This window comes from Homo sapiens, chromosome 4, assembly GCF_000001405.40.
Source record: "Homo sapiens chromosome 4, GRCh38.p14 Primary Assembly".
Lineage (NCBI taxonomy): Eukaryota > Metazoa > Chordata > Mammalia > Primates > Hominidae > Homo > Homo sapiens.
This window is the reverse complement of record NC_000004.12, coordinates 155,948,822-155,964,703: the sequence shown is the minus strand read 5'-3', so window position 1 is coordinate 155,964,703 and position 15,882 is coordinate 155,948,822. Positions and strand designations below refer to the sequence as shown.

The 15,882-nt window shown below is 39.9% G+C and overlaps 1 protein-coding gene across 1 annotated transcript in view, besides 1 other annotated feature; it reads left to right on the top strand.

Moving 5' to 3' along the window:
* Positions 9,433-9,727: an enhancer, noted in NCBI's record as "tiled region #9973; HepG2 Activating DNase matched - State 3:PromF". NCBI's record gives its function as "activates a minimal TATA promoter and a strong SV40 promoter by Sharpr-MPRA in HepG2 cells {active_cell/tissue: HepG2}" and the evidence as "EXISTENCE:reporter gene assay evidence [ECO:0000049][PMID:27701403]".
* CTSO (cathepsin O) overlaps positions 10,838-15,882 on the top strand; it is a 29,749-nt gene continuing 24,704 nt past the window's right edge. The window contains exon 1 of the mRNA NM_001334.3: positions 10,838-10,991. Within this exon, the coding sequence (NP_001325.1) occupies positions 10,857-10,991 (135 nt within the window). The 5' untranslated portion in view covers positions 10,838-10,856. The remainder of the gene's footprint in view (positions 10,992-15,882) is intronic.

Genomic DNA, 15,882 nt, shown 5'->3' with positions numbered 1-15,882 from the left:
GAGTTAATACATTTTACAGTGTATGTGCTGTCTGGGTCCTGGGGACATTGTGTGTCCTCAGCAAATATCAGCTGTTATTATTATCTCAGAAATAATAGTCCAGGAGCAACGAGTCATCCTTAGTAAAGCTGTGCTTTAGAGGAATAGAAGCTGCTGGGCTGGAGGGAGTGGGGTCAGCGGATGGCAGGAGCTAAATGAACACAGAAGAATGTGATAGGAAGTAAGGCCTGAAAGGCAGGCCAGGGCCAGATCACTCTGATCAGTAAGTGTCAGCTCTGGTTCTATGCTAAGGGTTACCTTGGTTTGAAATAAATCAGAATCTCTGGGGATGAAGTTTAGGCGTCAGATTTTGGAGTTCATGAGTTGGATTCTGACCTTCAGCCAAAGAGGAAAATCACTGATCTGGGCCTTGGATGCTAAAGAAAGGAGTTTGAATTTTATTCCAAGCCATTGCGATGTTTGTGGTGCCCCACCCACTTCCTTCCTCAACCTCATTTCTGTGTGTCAAGTTCTTAACTATCTTTTGGATATGTTACACTCTCTTCAATTAGAAGAGTCTTATGACAATCTCTCCCTCCCCTGCGCCCTCCCACACTCTCTTACCTCTTGATAACACAGTGCTGCACAGATTATGTTGGAGTGTATACATGCTTATTCCTCACTAGAAGATAAAATGCTCAAAAGCAAGAATTATTTATCCTCAAACAGTGTCTCGTCCATTAAGATAAAATGAAGTATTTTAAAGAATACATTTAAGGGCTTTGCTTAGAAACAATTGCTTAGACTAAAAGCTCATGTTATAACAAAGTCCCCATGCTTTAGTCAGTCAAAGCATTCAATAAATACCCAAATGTTAGGCACTGAAAAATAGAGACAGAGATGGCTTCATCAGGTTACAGCTATTTGTTCAAATTGGGAACACATAGAGTGTCATAATGTAATTAGGAACAGGACAAAACAGGAATAGAAGCTGCATGTTTCAAATGTAATTTCTTCCACCAAGTTATGAAGCCATGAAATTATTTCCTCTAGCAATAGATGAAGTAACACATATATAATCAAAATTCTAACTTTTATATTATCATGGTATAAACAGTATCTAATAGTAATGGATTCAAGTTTGGAACAATTTCAAAAGTATCAAGAAAAATCATGCAAAAATTATACCATTCATTTAAATGAATATAAAGCAGAACTCTTTGAAGCCTCAAGTGAACATGTACTTCATGGACAAAACTGCACCTAGTTTTATGTGCATAATTTATATGTATTCATCAAGTATCTGATTCTCATTGCTGTGATGGACATCTGGTTTTGTCATAAACTTACAAATGGACAAATAGTGAATGGAAAATAAGGCAAAATTACTTTCTTGGAGTCCTAAAGTGTTTTGCAATGTAATAAAAAACAAAAAATTATATTGCCTAAGAAATAAAACTGAATTTCATGAAGAACAAAGGCAGTCACTTTACATAGGAGCTTACCTTGAACAGCAGTCTACAAACAAACTAGAAGCTAAAAATGGCCTTGTGAGTTCAGGGCTGGTAAGCATTGAAATGTCTGGCCAACTCTAGTTCACATTGTGATATATAGTTCTATTGGGTACAGACTGTCAAAGTGAGTTAGTGTCAATGAAAGAAAATGGGAGATGGACTTTCAGATGTTCTCATTCAGCTGAAAAGAAAAAATACAGTTCAAAGAGCTTTTCCTCACTGAGCTTTTCAAATAACCACTCAGTAGGAAGGACATACTGCTTGGAAGGGAGGGCTTATAGGAATACTCAGAGAACTTGATAGCTACCATCGTTTTCAAAAGTGAATCCAGGCGTTTGCTCCTGTCCTTTCACCTCAAAAAGAGTAAACAAGTGCTAAAGATAATACAATCACCCCTTTCACATTGTCACTTGACTGGTGATGTGAATTTAAATAGCTGCTTTTAAGCAGTTTCATCCAACCAACTATGCATTAACCAATTCACGATCTCCAGCTTCTTTTAATACACACCAGCCCACGATGGCCATAGCCTGCAGCCTTCTGCAGATATTAGGTCAGGAATAGCACCACAAGTCGCCCTTAAAGTTGACAGCAGAGGCATTCAAGATAATCTAGGTGGGATATTTGTAACTTTTTTTCCTCTACACATACCACCAAATCTAGACTTAATGTGGTAAAATGCAAATGTAAAATTTAGACTAAAATTTTCTGAAGTTCAACTTTCATACAAACTATACTTGTATATATTATGTATTGACAACTCTAAGTCACCTCCCATCTGTCAAATTCAGACATTCATACAATACGTGGCATTCAATATTTTGAGCAAACTCATTTTGCATGGTCTTCTGACCAATGACTTCCTTTCGGAACGTCACCTTCTTTGTCAATAAAGCAGAGTCTGCGTCATTATTTGGATGATTTTCTTGTTCATTGGGTTTTATAAAGCATTTGTTCCTATACCATCGTAAAGATAGAATGGAAAAGAAAGATAGAAGTACCGATGCTTATAATAAGAAGGACAGCCACAAAAACAACAAGGACAGATAAGATTAAGCTGATCTCAGCCAGGTTCGGTGGCTTAAGCCTGTAATACTGGTCGTTCAAGAGGCCGAGGCAGGTGAATCATTTGAGGTCAGGAGTTTGAGATCAGCCTGGCCAACATAGTGAAACCTCATCTCTATTAAAAATACAAAAAAAAATTAGCCCTGTGGTAGTGGCACATACCTGTAATCCCAGCCACTCAGAAGGATGAGGCAGGAGGATCGTTTGAGCCTGGGAGGTGGAGGTTGCAGTGAGCCGAGATCGTGCCACTGCAATCCCATCTGGGTGAAAGAGTGAAACCCTGTCTCATAAATATATATATATTTATTTATATTTCTTTATATAATATACATTGTATTATATATTATTATATTCAATATATTGTATATATTATATTTAATATTATATATTAAATATATATTATGTGTGTGTGTATATATTATATATATATATTTTAAGCTGGTCTCCTGCCTCCATAAATCCATTCATCAGGCCTCCAGTTAGAGTCTAACTGTGAACACAGAATCAAAATGTAAGACTTGTATGGAATGTTAGAAGTATGCCTTCTAAAGTTTTACCTTAAAACTTCCGGGTATAATTACAGACTTTATTTACATTTCTTTCCCCCCTTTAATTGGTCTGAAGTACAGATGTGAGTTAATTCAACCTCTTGATTTCTAATACATTATTAATAAAGTCTATATTGACCCCCTCTTTTGTTTTATTCATTTTTTTCCTCTTCAACTCAGAGATGCCTTTCTGGGTGTTGATGAGAGACTACGGCTATAAGACCAGCTATTTACTGCTTGGAATGAATCCCAGGTCAAATAAAAAAAAAAGGTCCAAATGAATATAAATGTTATGACTAAGAGCATATGAGTTCTTAAGATATAAAACTACTGAATATCTGTAGTGTAAGAGAAAATGTCCTTGATTGGTTCCAAACAGAAGGGTAATAAAATACGGAATGTAGAAGAGGCATTTGAGACTTAGGTTCAACACAAATGCACTAGTAAGACTTAATCAGATATTGAGCACAGAGTCAAATATTCACTCTCAAAATTGGGCAATTATCAAATTTGGGGAAGCTAAGGGAGTAGATAAATATCAGAAAAATTGATCTGTGTTTTTAGGATCATGGAATTCTTCAGATGGGAATATCTGAATAAACCACTCACTCAATGCTTGCTGTCAGAATTGTTCTATTAAAAGTCTCCAGCATAAAAACATTTTTAAAAGGCCATCTTCTCTGCCCAACCTACATTCTGCCTCCTCCTTCTCCCACCATTCACTTTTCACAATGGACATTGAAATATGACCTCCGAAATCTGAACCAGAAGCAAACAAAAAGGAAACTAGTCATTCAGAGTGAAAACGTGTCAAAAGAGAAGGTTTGAGTCAAATCCAGGTGGCGATGTTCCATGAAATACTAACAGAACTCTTCATTTTCATGAGAGAGCAAGAACAGGCAGTGTTTATAATGACGCATTAACATCTGTCTGCGAATATCATCTCCATGGCACCAAAGTACACCACCCAAACAAAGGAAACTCACAGTAAAGGCAAAACTGTACCTTTTTGTTTTAAAATAGGGAATTAGTATTTGAACTGACAAAGAATCATCATATACCATTGACAGGTTCAACTAAAGTATACTATTACCATAAAGTGTCTTTTCATACTAGATTAGACATAATTAAAGCAGACACAATGGAAGTTTTAGTATGAAAAATGTCTCACAGTCCACCACAGTTGGTGGCAGTAGAGTACAAGTGGAATAAGTACTGCCTTTGACACTGTATTTACCTATATTTAATATCAGATTTATCATTCATTAGCTTTGTGTCCCTGAGCAAGTTTTAATTTCTCTCGGCTTCAGTTAAATTGAGGAGAGTAATACACTGTTCACTGTAGGAATTAAATGAGGTAATAGACATAGACCCCTTGCAAATTACTTACCTATTAATGTCTGTACAATAAGTGTCAGCATTCTTTCTGCTTTCCTTACAAAATCGTCTCCATTATTCTGATCTAACTTCATAATTCCACATTCATTGTGAAAGCAGTTTTTTGAGGCTATAAAAATGAAATGGCTTTCTATTTTTTCAGTCACTACTCTCAGCCCATATCACTTGAATTCCCTTTCCCATCCTTGAATGTCATCTTGGGCAGATATTAGAACTTTCTGAATATCTTTCTGTTTAGAATTAACAAATTAGAATTCAGTCTTGTGCATATTAAAATTCCAGTCTCATATCTAATTCAAAGCTTTCCCTTCTGCCATCTCTGGCTATGCTTGTGAAGTGAGCGAAGAAAAGGGACATGTTTTGCTTTTTCCCTATCTCCTCCATGCCCTTGACAGCTTTGAGCCCTGGATAATAGTGAGCAGGAGGCTGGATTGTGGGGAGCAGGAAGATATCACTGTTTAACAGGACTCAGCTGCAGGGCTCCCAGGCCGGGTCATTGTTGCCCCTCCAGCTCTCACTGACTGGCCGTCCAGCCTTCTTCCAGGCAGACCCCCGTGCTGACCCTGTCCTTGAGCACATGTGTGTGGTCCATGGGACGCCCTCCTTGGGCTCCTGGGGCACAGTTCTCTGAGATGAGAAACCTGGGTCTAGTCCAGTCTCCAGCCCTAGACCCTCATAGTCCACCCTGAGCCCACTGCTACTGGCTTCCCCTCATGCAGTGGAAACTCCCTCTGGAGGGTTCCACTTGACTCATGAGAAACACACTTCCTTTCCATGCCAGAGTTGTGGGTGCCCCCTGCCTTATTCCTCTCCCCTCTCTCCATCTCGCCTTTTCCCCTGTTCAGGAGGGCATAAGGAGAAAAGCAGCAGTGTGGCCTAACCAGGCATCTAAATGCAAATCAGAATACCAGGCTTCCCTTTTTTCCGTTTTTTGCAGATAATCCCACCATCTTTCATTCCCTTCTCATGAATCTTCCCTGCTGCCAGTAAACCTGAGCATTGAGAAGGGAGTGCCTCTTCCTTAGATGAGGATGAGGGACTCAATACTCTCCACTAACACTGTAATTCCCAGACGACTGGCCAATTTTTCTTCCCCTCCTGGGGCACCCCCTAGTATAGTCTTGGAGGGGTTCCTCTTTTCATGGGGCTGACTCTGCAGGTGTCTGGTTGGAATGGTTCATGGTTGTCTTTACAATGTAGGGTAGGTCCTCTTGCCAGTTTTCAGGCGTGAATTCAGGCTAACAGTTTTAGGGTAAAGGGAAAAATTTTCATCAGTGCTGAGTTGCAAATGGGAAACAAAAGCCTGAGAAACAATAGAATTGAATAAATGGCAAGAAGCACAAACATTAGGTGTACGCAGATTCTGCTTTTTCCTCTGTGATGTGGTCACAAACTTACTCCAACTACAACTTTGTAACTAACGTCGTCTTCACAGCTCCCACACAAGGCAGTAGAAAGACTTCAGTCTGTTATTTCTGCTCTCCAGCTCTCCACCATGTTCCTCTCTAGACAGTGTTTGATGTGTGAGTGCAAGGACATGTATGGAATTGTGAGGGGGCACAGGGAATAGACCCTCAGGTCTGTCCTGTGTCCTTGAGGTCCATGCCAATCCTGGCTCTACATCTGATATTTCTTGGGGAGTATACAGCCCGGTTTCTTCTCTGGATGTTCTGATTAGCATCTGTGGCTGAATCAGCAGTTGACTAATGCCCAGCACTCAGCTCATTGAGGGCCAGCCACTTCTCCCTGCAGATCCACACTTTGCTTGGCTTGTGCAAGGCTAGACACACATTCTCTGTCAGGTACCTCACCCCGATAGCCTGTGAGGCATGTAATTCTACTCTCTTAACGATGCAGTCTTCCCTGTCCTCTGTGGAATTGTTTGTGTGTTTTTCTATCAATTATCTATACTGATAAGTTTCCTTTGGAAATTTCCAATAACTATTGGGTTAAGAGAGTGATCTATTAAATATTTAGTTCCCTGAGATGGTTCAGGACCGTCATCACCTCAAATGTACTTGATAGAAGAAAGAAGCCATTATTGTTTACTTTGTCATTTTGAATAGGCATTTTGTTACATTATTTGTTGCTTCAACTTTTTAAAATTTTAATTTTAATTTCAATGGTGTTTGGAGTACAGGTTACATGGATAAGTTCTAAGATTTTGGTGCACCTGTCACCTAAACAATGTACACTGTACCCAATGTGTAGTATTTTATCCCTCACCCCCCTCCCACCCTTCCCGCCGAGTCCCCAAAGTCCACTGTATCATTCTTCCGCTTTGCATCCTCATAGCTTAGCTCCCACTTATAAGTGAGAACATACAATATTTGGTTTTCCAATCCTGAGTTACCTCACTTAGAATAATGGCCTCCAGTCCATCCAAGTTGCTACAAAAGACATTATTTCGTTCCTTTTTATGGCTGACTAGTATTCCACAGTGTATATATACCACATTTTCTTTATCCACTCATTGGTTGATGGGCATTTAGGTTGGTTCCATATCTTTGCAATTGCAAATTGTGCTGCTATAAACATGTGTGTGCATGTGTGTTTTTCATATTATGACTTATTTTCCTTTGGGTAGGTACTCAGTAGTGAGACTGCTGGATCAAATGGTAGTTTACTTTCAGCTTTTTAAGAAATCTCCAGCTGGGCACAGTGGCTCACACCTGTAACCCCAGCACTTTGGGAGGCTGAGGCGGGTGGATCACGAGGTCAAGAGATTGAGACCATCCTGGCCAACATGATGAAACCTCATCTCTACTAAAAATACAAAAATTAGCTGGGCATGGTGGTGTGCACCTGTAGTCCCAGCTACTTGAGAGGCTGAGGCAGAAGAATCACTTGAACCCGGGAGGCAGAGGTTGCAGTGAGCCGAGATCATACCACTGCACTCCAGCCTGAGCAAGAGAGATACTCCATCTCAAAACAAAACAAAACAAACAAACAAACAAACAAAAAAAAGGTAAAAAAAAAAAAAACAAAGAAACAAAATAATTCCGTAGCAAAGTCACTGAAACATGAAGTAGCATGATTAAAAATGGAAGAAAACCCAGAAGGTGCATAACGGGATAAAAACAACAGTAAATATTGATTTGTGTATCATAAAGGTTAAGAGGTATTTGTGAAAATGGTTAGCTCTGGAGTATTTTCACACATAAAGAAATGACTGCATTTGTTACTGGGCTTATAACATTCAACATGAGGCTGTGGTAGCGGGCCTCCAAGATGGCACCTGATGACCCCACCTTATGTCAGCTCCACCTCCCACATCTTACCAGACTGGCTCTGTGTAACCAATGGCAGAAGAGATGATATGTTTCAAGATAAGGTTATAAAAAGACACTGCTGCTCCCACCTCAGTCATTCCCTGGTCCACTGTCTCAATTTCTCTATTCACTCATTCTGCAGGAACAAAGAGCTGGCAGGAAAAGCCCAGCCTTCTGATAAGGTTCTGAGGATTTTGTCCAAAGGCCTAAGAGGAGCTGAGGACTCTTGCTAACAGCCACATGAGCTTGAAATTGAATCCTTTAAACTTGGGAAACCTTCAGAAGATTGCAGCCATATGCAACAGCTTGTCTGCGTCCTCATGAGACACTCTGAGCTGGAACCACCCAGATAAGCTGCTCCCTCCTGGTCCACAGAAACTGTTTAAGATAAGAAAAATTCGTATTTTTAAGATGCTAAGTTTGAGGGTTATATTTTACATGGCAATAGATATCTAATACAGAGTTGAGGGAAGTTCCATGTGCTATTTTGCAAATTTGATGAAAAAAACACATCTCTACATATACATGTAATTTGTAGTGTTTATTCTAAGAATTAGCAGATACTTGCCACCTTCACTTTTCAAGCCACTTTTCAAAAACTTTGTTTTACTACTTAATAGATGATTCTGATCTCCCTTTTAACTGACCCAAAATTCTTCACAATCTGTGCGCTTCTTACTTATCTCATATTCTACTCTCCCCCATCCTTTTTTTTTTCCTTTACTCCATCCATGCTGACGTCTTTTATGTTTCTGGAACGTGCCAAGCAAACTTCCATCTCAAGGCCTTTGTGTTGACAGTTCTTTCTGTCTTAGCTTCTCTTTCCCTGGATATCTGAATATCCATGTGGCTCACTTTCTTCTCCTTCAAATCTTTGCTCAAAACTCTCCTCATCAGTGAGGACAGTATTGAACAGCTTATTTAAAATAGCAGTACCACCCCTCACACTGATGATGCTCCTTATCTGGATTTATTGTCCTTTAACACATGTACAAGTTGAGCATCTCTAATCCAAACACCCAAAATACTCCAAAATCTAAAACTTATTGAGTACTGACATCATGCCACACCTAGAAAATTTCACACCTGACTTCATGTGGTGGGTCATAGTCAAAATGCATTCAAAGCCTTGTTTTATGCATAAAATTACCTAAAATAGTCAGTAAGATTACCTTCAGTCAGTAGCATAAGTGAAACACAAATGAATTTTGTGTTTAGACTTGGGTCTCATCCCCAAGAGATCTCATTATGTATATGCAAATATTCCAAAATCTGGGGGGAAAAAATCTGAAATCTGAAACACTTCCAGACCCAGGCATTGTGGATAAGGGATCCTCAACCTGTAGTAATTTTATTGCGTCTCTCCCCCTCACTGAAATACCAGCTTCAACAGGGTGGGGCTTTTCATCTCTTCAGTCACTTATGCACTTCCATCCATGATGTGTCCTGATGACCTAGAACAATGCCTGACACTTAGGAAGTACTCAATAAAATATTTGTTGATGTAAATCAATTGAAATATCAGTCCCATAGGGATGGGGATTTTCATCCCTTTAGTCACTTATCCACTTACTTGATATATCCTCATTACCTAGAAGAATGCCTGACACTTAGCAGGTACTCAATAAATACTTGATGTGAGCTCCTGAAATGAGTTTAGTTCAAGGGGCTTTTTTACAATACCAATTATCCTAAAGTAAAGATGACTGCCTATATTTAAATTTCCTGACTCCGTAGGTTGTCAATAAACAGGGACTATGATCTGAAAGCAAAGTTCAGTTTAAAAAGAAAAGTATGTGCTTGTATGAGTCACAAAAAAGGGCTAAGTACAAAAGAACTGCTGAGGTAAACATGAACATCGTTCTGTGAACTTATGATTTAAATAAAATCTTTATCACCACACTTGCCAAGAGCAATATATCTTATCATGAACGTACATAAAAAACTCTTGTGTCTTTCCTCTTAATACTCGGAACATTATTTTTATTTTTATTACGAAGTTTGCATTGGAGAATATTGTAACTCACTGCACCTAGGTAAAAACTAAAGACATAAATCTGATGTTAGTTCTAAAAATCTACAAGGGTAATGATATGAATTTCACAGACATGGAAGCCTTGTTCAGAATAGATGATAATAGAAAGGCTCGGTAGAGCCAGGTTCATGAGTGTGTGACCTGTGCAGAAGTGGGTGCTTAGAAGGCCCATGGCTTGGGTTAATGCTCTGCTGTTGCCGTCTTGAAATTCTTCACAATTTATGAACAAGGGAACTTCATTTTCAGTTTACACGGAACCCTGCAAATTATGTACTTGGCTCTATCTTCCTTTGCAAACGGAGAAACAGGCTTCAAGAGTTTTGAAACTGCCATAATAGATCCAAAAACTGTGTATGCTTTTCACATCTGTACAATTTTGTTACGTATTTATAAACATCTGCTGAATGGATGACTCTATGTATTGGCCCACATCACTTCAGAACTAGGTCTTGAACTTAGGGATTGTGGCAAGAAGGAAAAAGGCAGCTTCCGGTGGCTCACAGGGCAGGCCAGGTGGCTCACACCTGTGAGCATTTTGGGAGGCCAAGGCGGGTGGATCACTAGAGTCCAGGAGTTCGAGACCGGCCTGGGCAATATGGCAAGATCCTATCTCTACTAAAAATACAAAAATAGCCTGGGGTGGTGGCACGCGCCTGTAGTCCCAGGTACTCCGGAGGCTGAGGCAGGAGGCACTTGAACCTGAAGGTCGAGGCTGCAGTGAGACCTGATCTCAACACACACAAAAGAATGACTCTCAGGCTTCTTTTTTTCTAATGGATGGAAGTGAAACCTCGAAAGCACATGGTCAAGTGCCTGACTCTTCCAAAACAAAAACAAAAACAAAAAAACTAGCCTCAGCAAGGAGGTCCGTAGCCTCCAGCTGACCGGATTTTCAGTCACAGAACACCGGGGACCTAAAAAAGGGTCAATCTCAGCATCGTGCACTCAACCCAGCTCCTTCCGCCCCTCGAGCCCAGGCTGGGAGGAGCCGAGGAACCGAAAGAGAAAACAGGCCGCGCGGGCGGCAGAGGAGCCGGGCGCCGCAATGGACGTGCGGGCGCTGCCGTGGCTGCCGTGGCTGCTGTGGCTGCTGTGCCGGGGCGGCGGCGATGCGGACTCCCGCGCCCCCTTCACCCCGACCTGGCCGCGGAGCCGCGAGCGTGAAGCCGCCGCCTTCCGGGTACCGAGCGCGCGCCTCCCCGGGATCTGTCCCTGCTCCCTCACTTCCTGTCCCGGGTCTGGGCTGCGGAAGAGGGCCCCCGAGAGCTGACCCTGCTCGTGGGCACCCGTGGCTCTGCGATGCGTCTGGGGCCCTGAGCTGCGGGTGCAAAAGCCAGCTTCTCTCTCCCCTCTCCTTGTGCCATGGTGTCACTCCCCCATGCCTTTGCTAACCAAAAGACTTGATTTTCCAGAAGAGATTTGTCGCTATGGATTTTTGGGACGCACCCAAATAAATCCATAGATACGTCCAAAGTGTCCTTGGTGGGAAGAAGCACCCCCTTTTAGCAATCCCCTCTATCGTTGCCACTGGCTTCCAAAGCTCTTCTATTTCTCTTTTATGAGAACCAGAAACAGGGAGCAGCCTGTTGGTGGAAGAAACCTGTCGTGTTTTTTTTTCCCGAGGAGGGCGCTAGTGATCAGAAGTTAGAAACAAAGAGCCTGTCTTTAGCCAGATTAAAGAATCCTGATGGTTTATGATTCTCCTTAAACTAACGCACCACTTTAAAAGTTCTTCCTGCCTTGGCGGAGACTGAGTTGAAGAAAAGAGAAGCATTTAATTTCCTTTTCATATTATTATACGAAATATAATATAATTTATATTTTATAATATTTATAATAAATACTTAGATTTGAGTCTAGCATGAAAACTCTGGAAGGGACCAGTTAGCTGAGCACAAATAATGATTTTCCTGAAACCAAGGAAACTGCAAGGGATGCCGATTTAGTGTTCGCCTCACTATGTTCTAGATAGCTGATACTATTTAACACATTTTTAAATTCATGAAAGATGCCATTATCATGATTTAATTTATTGGAAAAGAAAATTCTTTCATTCTGAATCAAACATAAGTCTGAGTTGAGTAATATTGCTCAAGGAAGTGTATCTTTTTTCCTGGTGTTTGTTGGAATTTCTCACAGGATTTCATAGCTGTGCTCTTTTCCCCCGACTCTCCTGGAAAGCTCCAATGTTTAGGAAGGCCAGCCTTCCCTGATTCTGTCCACTCTTACGTTTTGTCCAAACCGAGATGTGTACTGTTATCTCCACTTTATTATTCTTGAGTTCAGTTCTAGCTTTCAAAACCAGAAGTCCTCTTACTCTTTCAAGAACAAAATTCTGGCCTGTATTCTACCCCTATCCTCAACTTACGTTCGTTTTCCTGGTAAACGAAACCCCTTAGGGGAAAAGTCAGTTTCACCTTTATTGGTAACGTATTCATTGGCTAAATAAATAAACACACTGTCAGGCTCCTAAAAATAATATTTCAGGACAAAGCTCAAAGGGCTAGACTTATAAATATATTTTTAACATTTATTTAGATTTTAGATAATTTATAAATATATATGTGTATAATTTATGTAGTGACTCATACTGGTCCTGTAAAGAGGCCATACCCTGATGAATGTCTAGAAAATGTAACTTTTCTCAGGAGAAATACAAAGAAACAGGTTGAAAGATGGAAAGTTGGAAGTGGAGGAGGATCGAATTATGAAGACTCTTAGTACATTTTAAAAACCTCGGGTTAAGAAATACTGAAAAAATTTTCAAAGCAATTGCTGCCTGTAAGAATTTGCTTCATGAGATGGATACCCAAAAAAGAGAACATTGAGGCTTCAACGCACAGTTGCTGGAAACTGAACACCTCTCGGTGCTTAGTTGGACTTTATCCAAGAATGCTTTAAAACCGATTTTCTACCTTAGTGGTCCCCAATCTTTTGGCACTAGGGACCGGATTCATGGAAGACATTTTTTCCATGGACGGGAGGAGGGAAGTGGGGGAGATGGATGGATTTGGGATGAAAGTCTTTCATCTAAGATCATCAGGAATTAGTTAGATTAGTTAGCTGGAGATTGCTGTTCGGACTTGGGATAGAGAGCTGGACAGTGGGAAAGGTGGAAAGGGCCTTGCCTCCTTGGTAACCGTGAAACTTCTTGTTGAAATCAAGTTAATTCATTGGTGAATTGATGATTCAGGGGTTTGCAGCTGAAGATCTGGTTCAAGAAAGTCCTTGATTAATTAGTAATGTCTTTCATGGTCATGGGTTTAGAGAATGGTGAAGGTTTTAAAATTTGTTTTAATCTTAGCCTTAGATAGTTTTGTAAGTTTCCCAGGAATGCACGTTAAATGAAAGTTAGGTTAGCCCATGACTTTCCCACAAAATATTATAGTATTGTTCAGTGAAAACTAGACTCCACTATGGTTTATTATGGGATGCCTCACAAGACACCTGACTTTGGATGGCACCCCTTATCTCTGCACTTTCACTCCTTTAGAAACTTCCAGTGCTCAGGAAGCTCTTAACTATTGGATTTAGCCTACTCTCCTTTGTGCCAAAACCTAGCTATGCCCTCATATTTACTGATGCTCATTATTTTACCACAGAACATTTGGTATTCTTATCCTTTTGGGAGGCACAGACCCAATATTGGATCCAATAAAATTTGCTTGATACACTCACTTTAGAATAATATCTATGCCAAAGTACATGTGATTTTACATAAAATTTCCAAAGCTTTACCTTAAGACCAGTTGCCGTAATGACACAGGTTATATTATTATAAGATTATTTATATATTTAGGAATATTTATTTATGTGTAAATAGATGGCCATAGCATCTTTATAACAAGTGATCCTAACTAATGAGCCACTTATATGTGCTTGCCGTAATCAGCCCCTTGAAATCTGGAATTAGGTCCTCCAAATAGGCTTTATCCAAGAAAGCTTTAAAACCTATTTTCTACCTCAGTGGTCCCCAAACTTTTTGGCACCAGGGATTGGTTTCATGGAAGACAATTTTTCCACGGACTGGGGTGTGGGGGTGGGGTGAGGAGGATGCGGATGATTTCAGAATGAAGCTGTTCCACCCCAGATCATCAAGCATTAGATTCACATAAGGACTGTGCAAACTAGATCCCTTACATGCACCGTTCCCAGTAGGGTTTGTGCTCCTATGATAATCTAATGCTGCTGCCGATCTGACAGAAGGTGGAGATCAGGTGGTGATGCATGCTCGCAGGCCCCTCACCACCTGCTGTGCAGCCTGGTCGTTAACAGGCCACAGAACAGTACTGGTCCATGGCCCAGGGTTTTGAGACTCCTGTTCTACCTTATATAAAGATGAAAACACGAATTTGATGTTAGATAAGGTTGTTCAGCAGACTTTTTCTGATGAATCTCACTTAAAGCATACATTGACTAAATGGAAATATATCATAAACTTAAAATCATAGGTTATAATTTATTCATCTTCCCATACATTTATCCAATACTTTATTTAATTTCCACTGTGTCTAAAGAACTGGTCTGGGTTTTCTGAGGGATACAGTGGAGAATAAGACGCGTGCTGTCCTGTAAGAAATGTACACAAAAAATGAATATCGTTATGTTTAAGCATTGTATCCTGTAAATAAACATTTTCCTGTAAATAAAAAGAATGTAAAGACTTATACACTGGAGAAATAGATTCTCCCAAGTAGTTCACAAAAGAATGTATTTTTAATTCAATCTTTTTGTGTACATGCTCACACAAATCCTGACTACACATTTCTTATCATACATAGTAAACATATATCTGCAATATGTTTACACACACTTCAGTACACTGTATAGAAAATACTTTGTCTAAGAAACTTTTCAAAAGCTGTACTTTATAAAAGTGTATCCTTAAAAAGCTTTTATTGTTCTAATCCAAGGCTCCTCAACAGTGGCACTATTGACATTTGAGAATGGATAGTGATTTGTTGTGGGGGACCTTCCTCTTCATTGTAGGGTGAGTAGCAGCATGCATGGGCTCTATGCACCAGATGCCAGTGGCATCCCACCAGTATGACAATCCCCAGTATGACAAATGAGGGACAAAATTATCCTCAGTTGAGAATCACTGATCTAAAGTTTACAACTCCTAAGTCTTCCAAGAAATTCTCAGTGATGCTCTTTGTATACAAATATTTTACCTTTTTTGCTCATCCTCAGCTTTACTGCAATTTCCAGAAACGAAAGCACTCCTAAGGAGAACATTTTAAATCTATGTGTACAATTTATGATTTATCCTATGAAACTTCAAAATCTGCAAATGAAAGTTGTTAAAAGTCTGAGTAATGGAACTGCAAGACAAACAATGAGTTTAAAGTGCCGAAGATAAAGTGAGCTTCCAAAGTACCTTAGGTGTCTCTGTTAATTTCAATATAAAACTTATCCCATGGATACATGGGATTCATTGTAAGGGAATACACACATCATTGCGTATATTGATAAAGGCAAATAAATCATCATTAGTGGAAGGAAACCTAGATATCAATGGGGAAAAATAATAGATGTTCACTGCCTTTTCAGCTGATAAAACAGACATGAAGTCCCTTAAAGTTTATAACGCTTCAGTAGATTTCTTGCAGGCTAAATAACTATACCCCTCCACCAAATACTAGTTGTGTGATCTTAGGCAAATCATGTATCTGTTTCTCAGATTTATTCTTCTGTGAAGAGGGCTAATGTTAGCAATTACCTTTATACAGGGCTAAGTTAATTCATGTAAAACACTTAGAATGAATACTTGCATTCAATTTAACAATCCCTTCAACCCTTTGTATTTAGTGCATTCAGTGGCTGAGAACTTTCCTTGTAGAGAAATGAAAACTCAACAGTTTGCTCATAAAAGATTCGCTTACTCCTTTAGAAACAGTTGAGTACATGCAAGAAGAAAATACATGATTTCATTTACTCTTACTTAGTGGCAGTCTGTGAGAAAGATTTCACAGATTTTTCCCCTCAGGGAAGTAGATTAAGGAAACATCTGAGAACCCCTCAAGTCACCCTCCTTGGGTTTCTACTCTTTGATTGTTTTGAACATGACC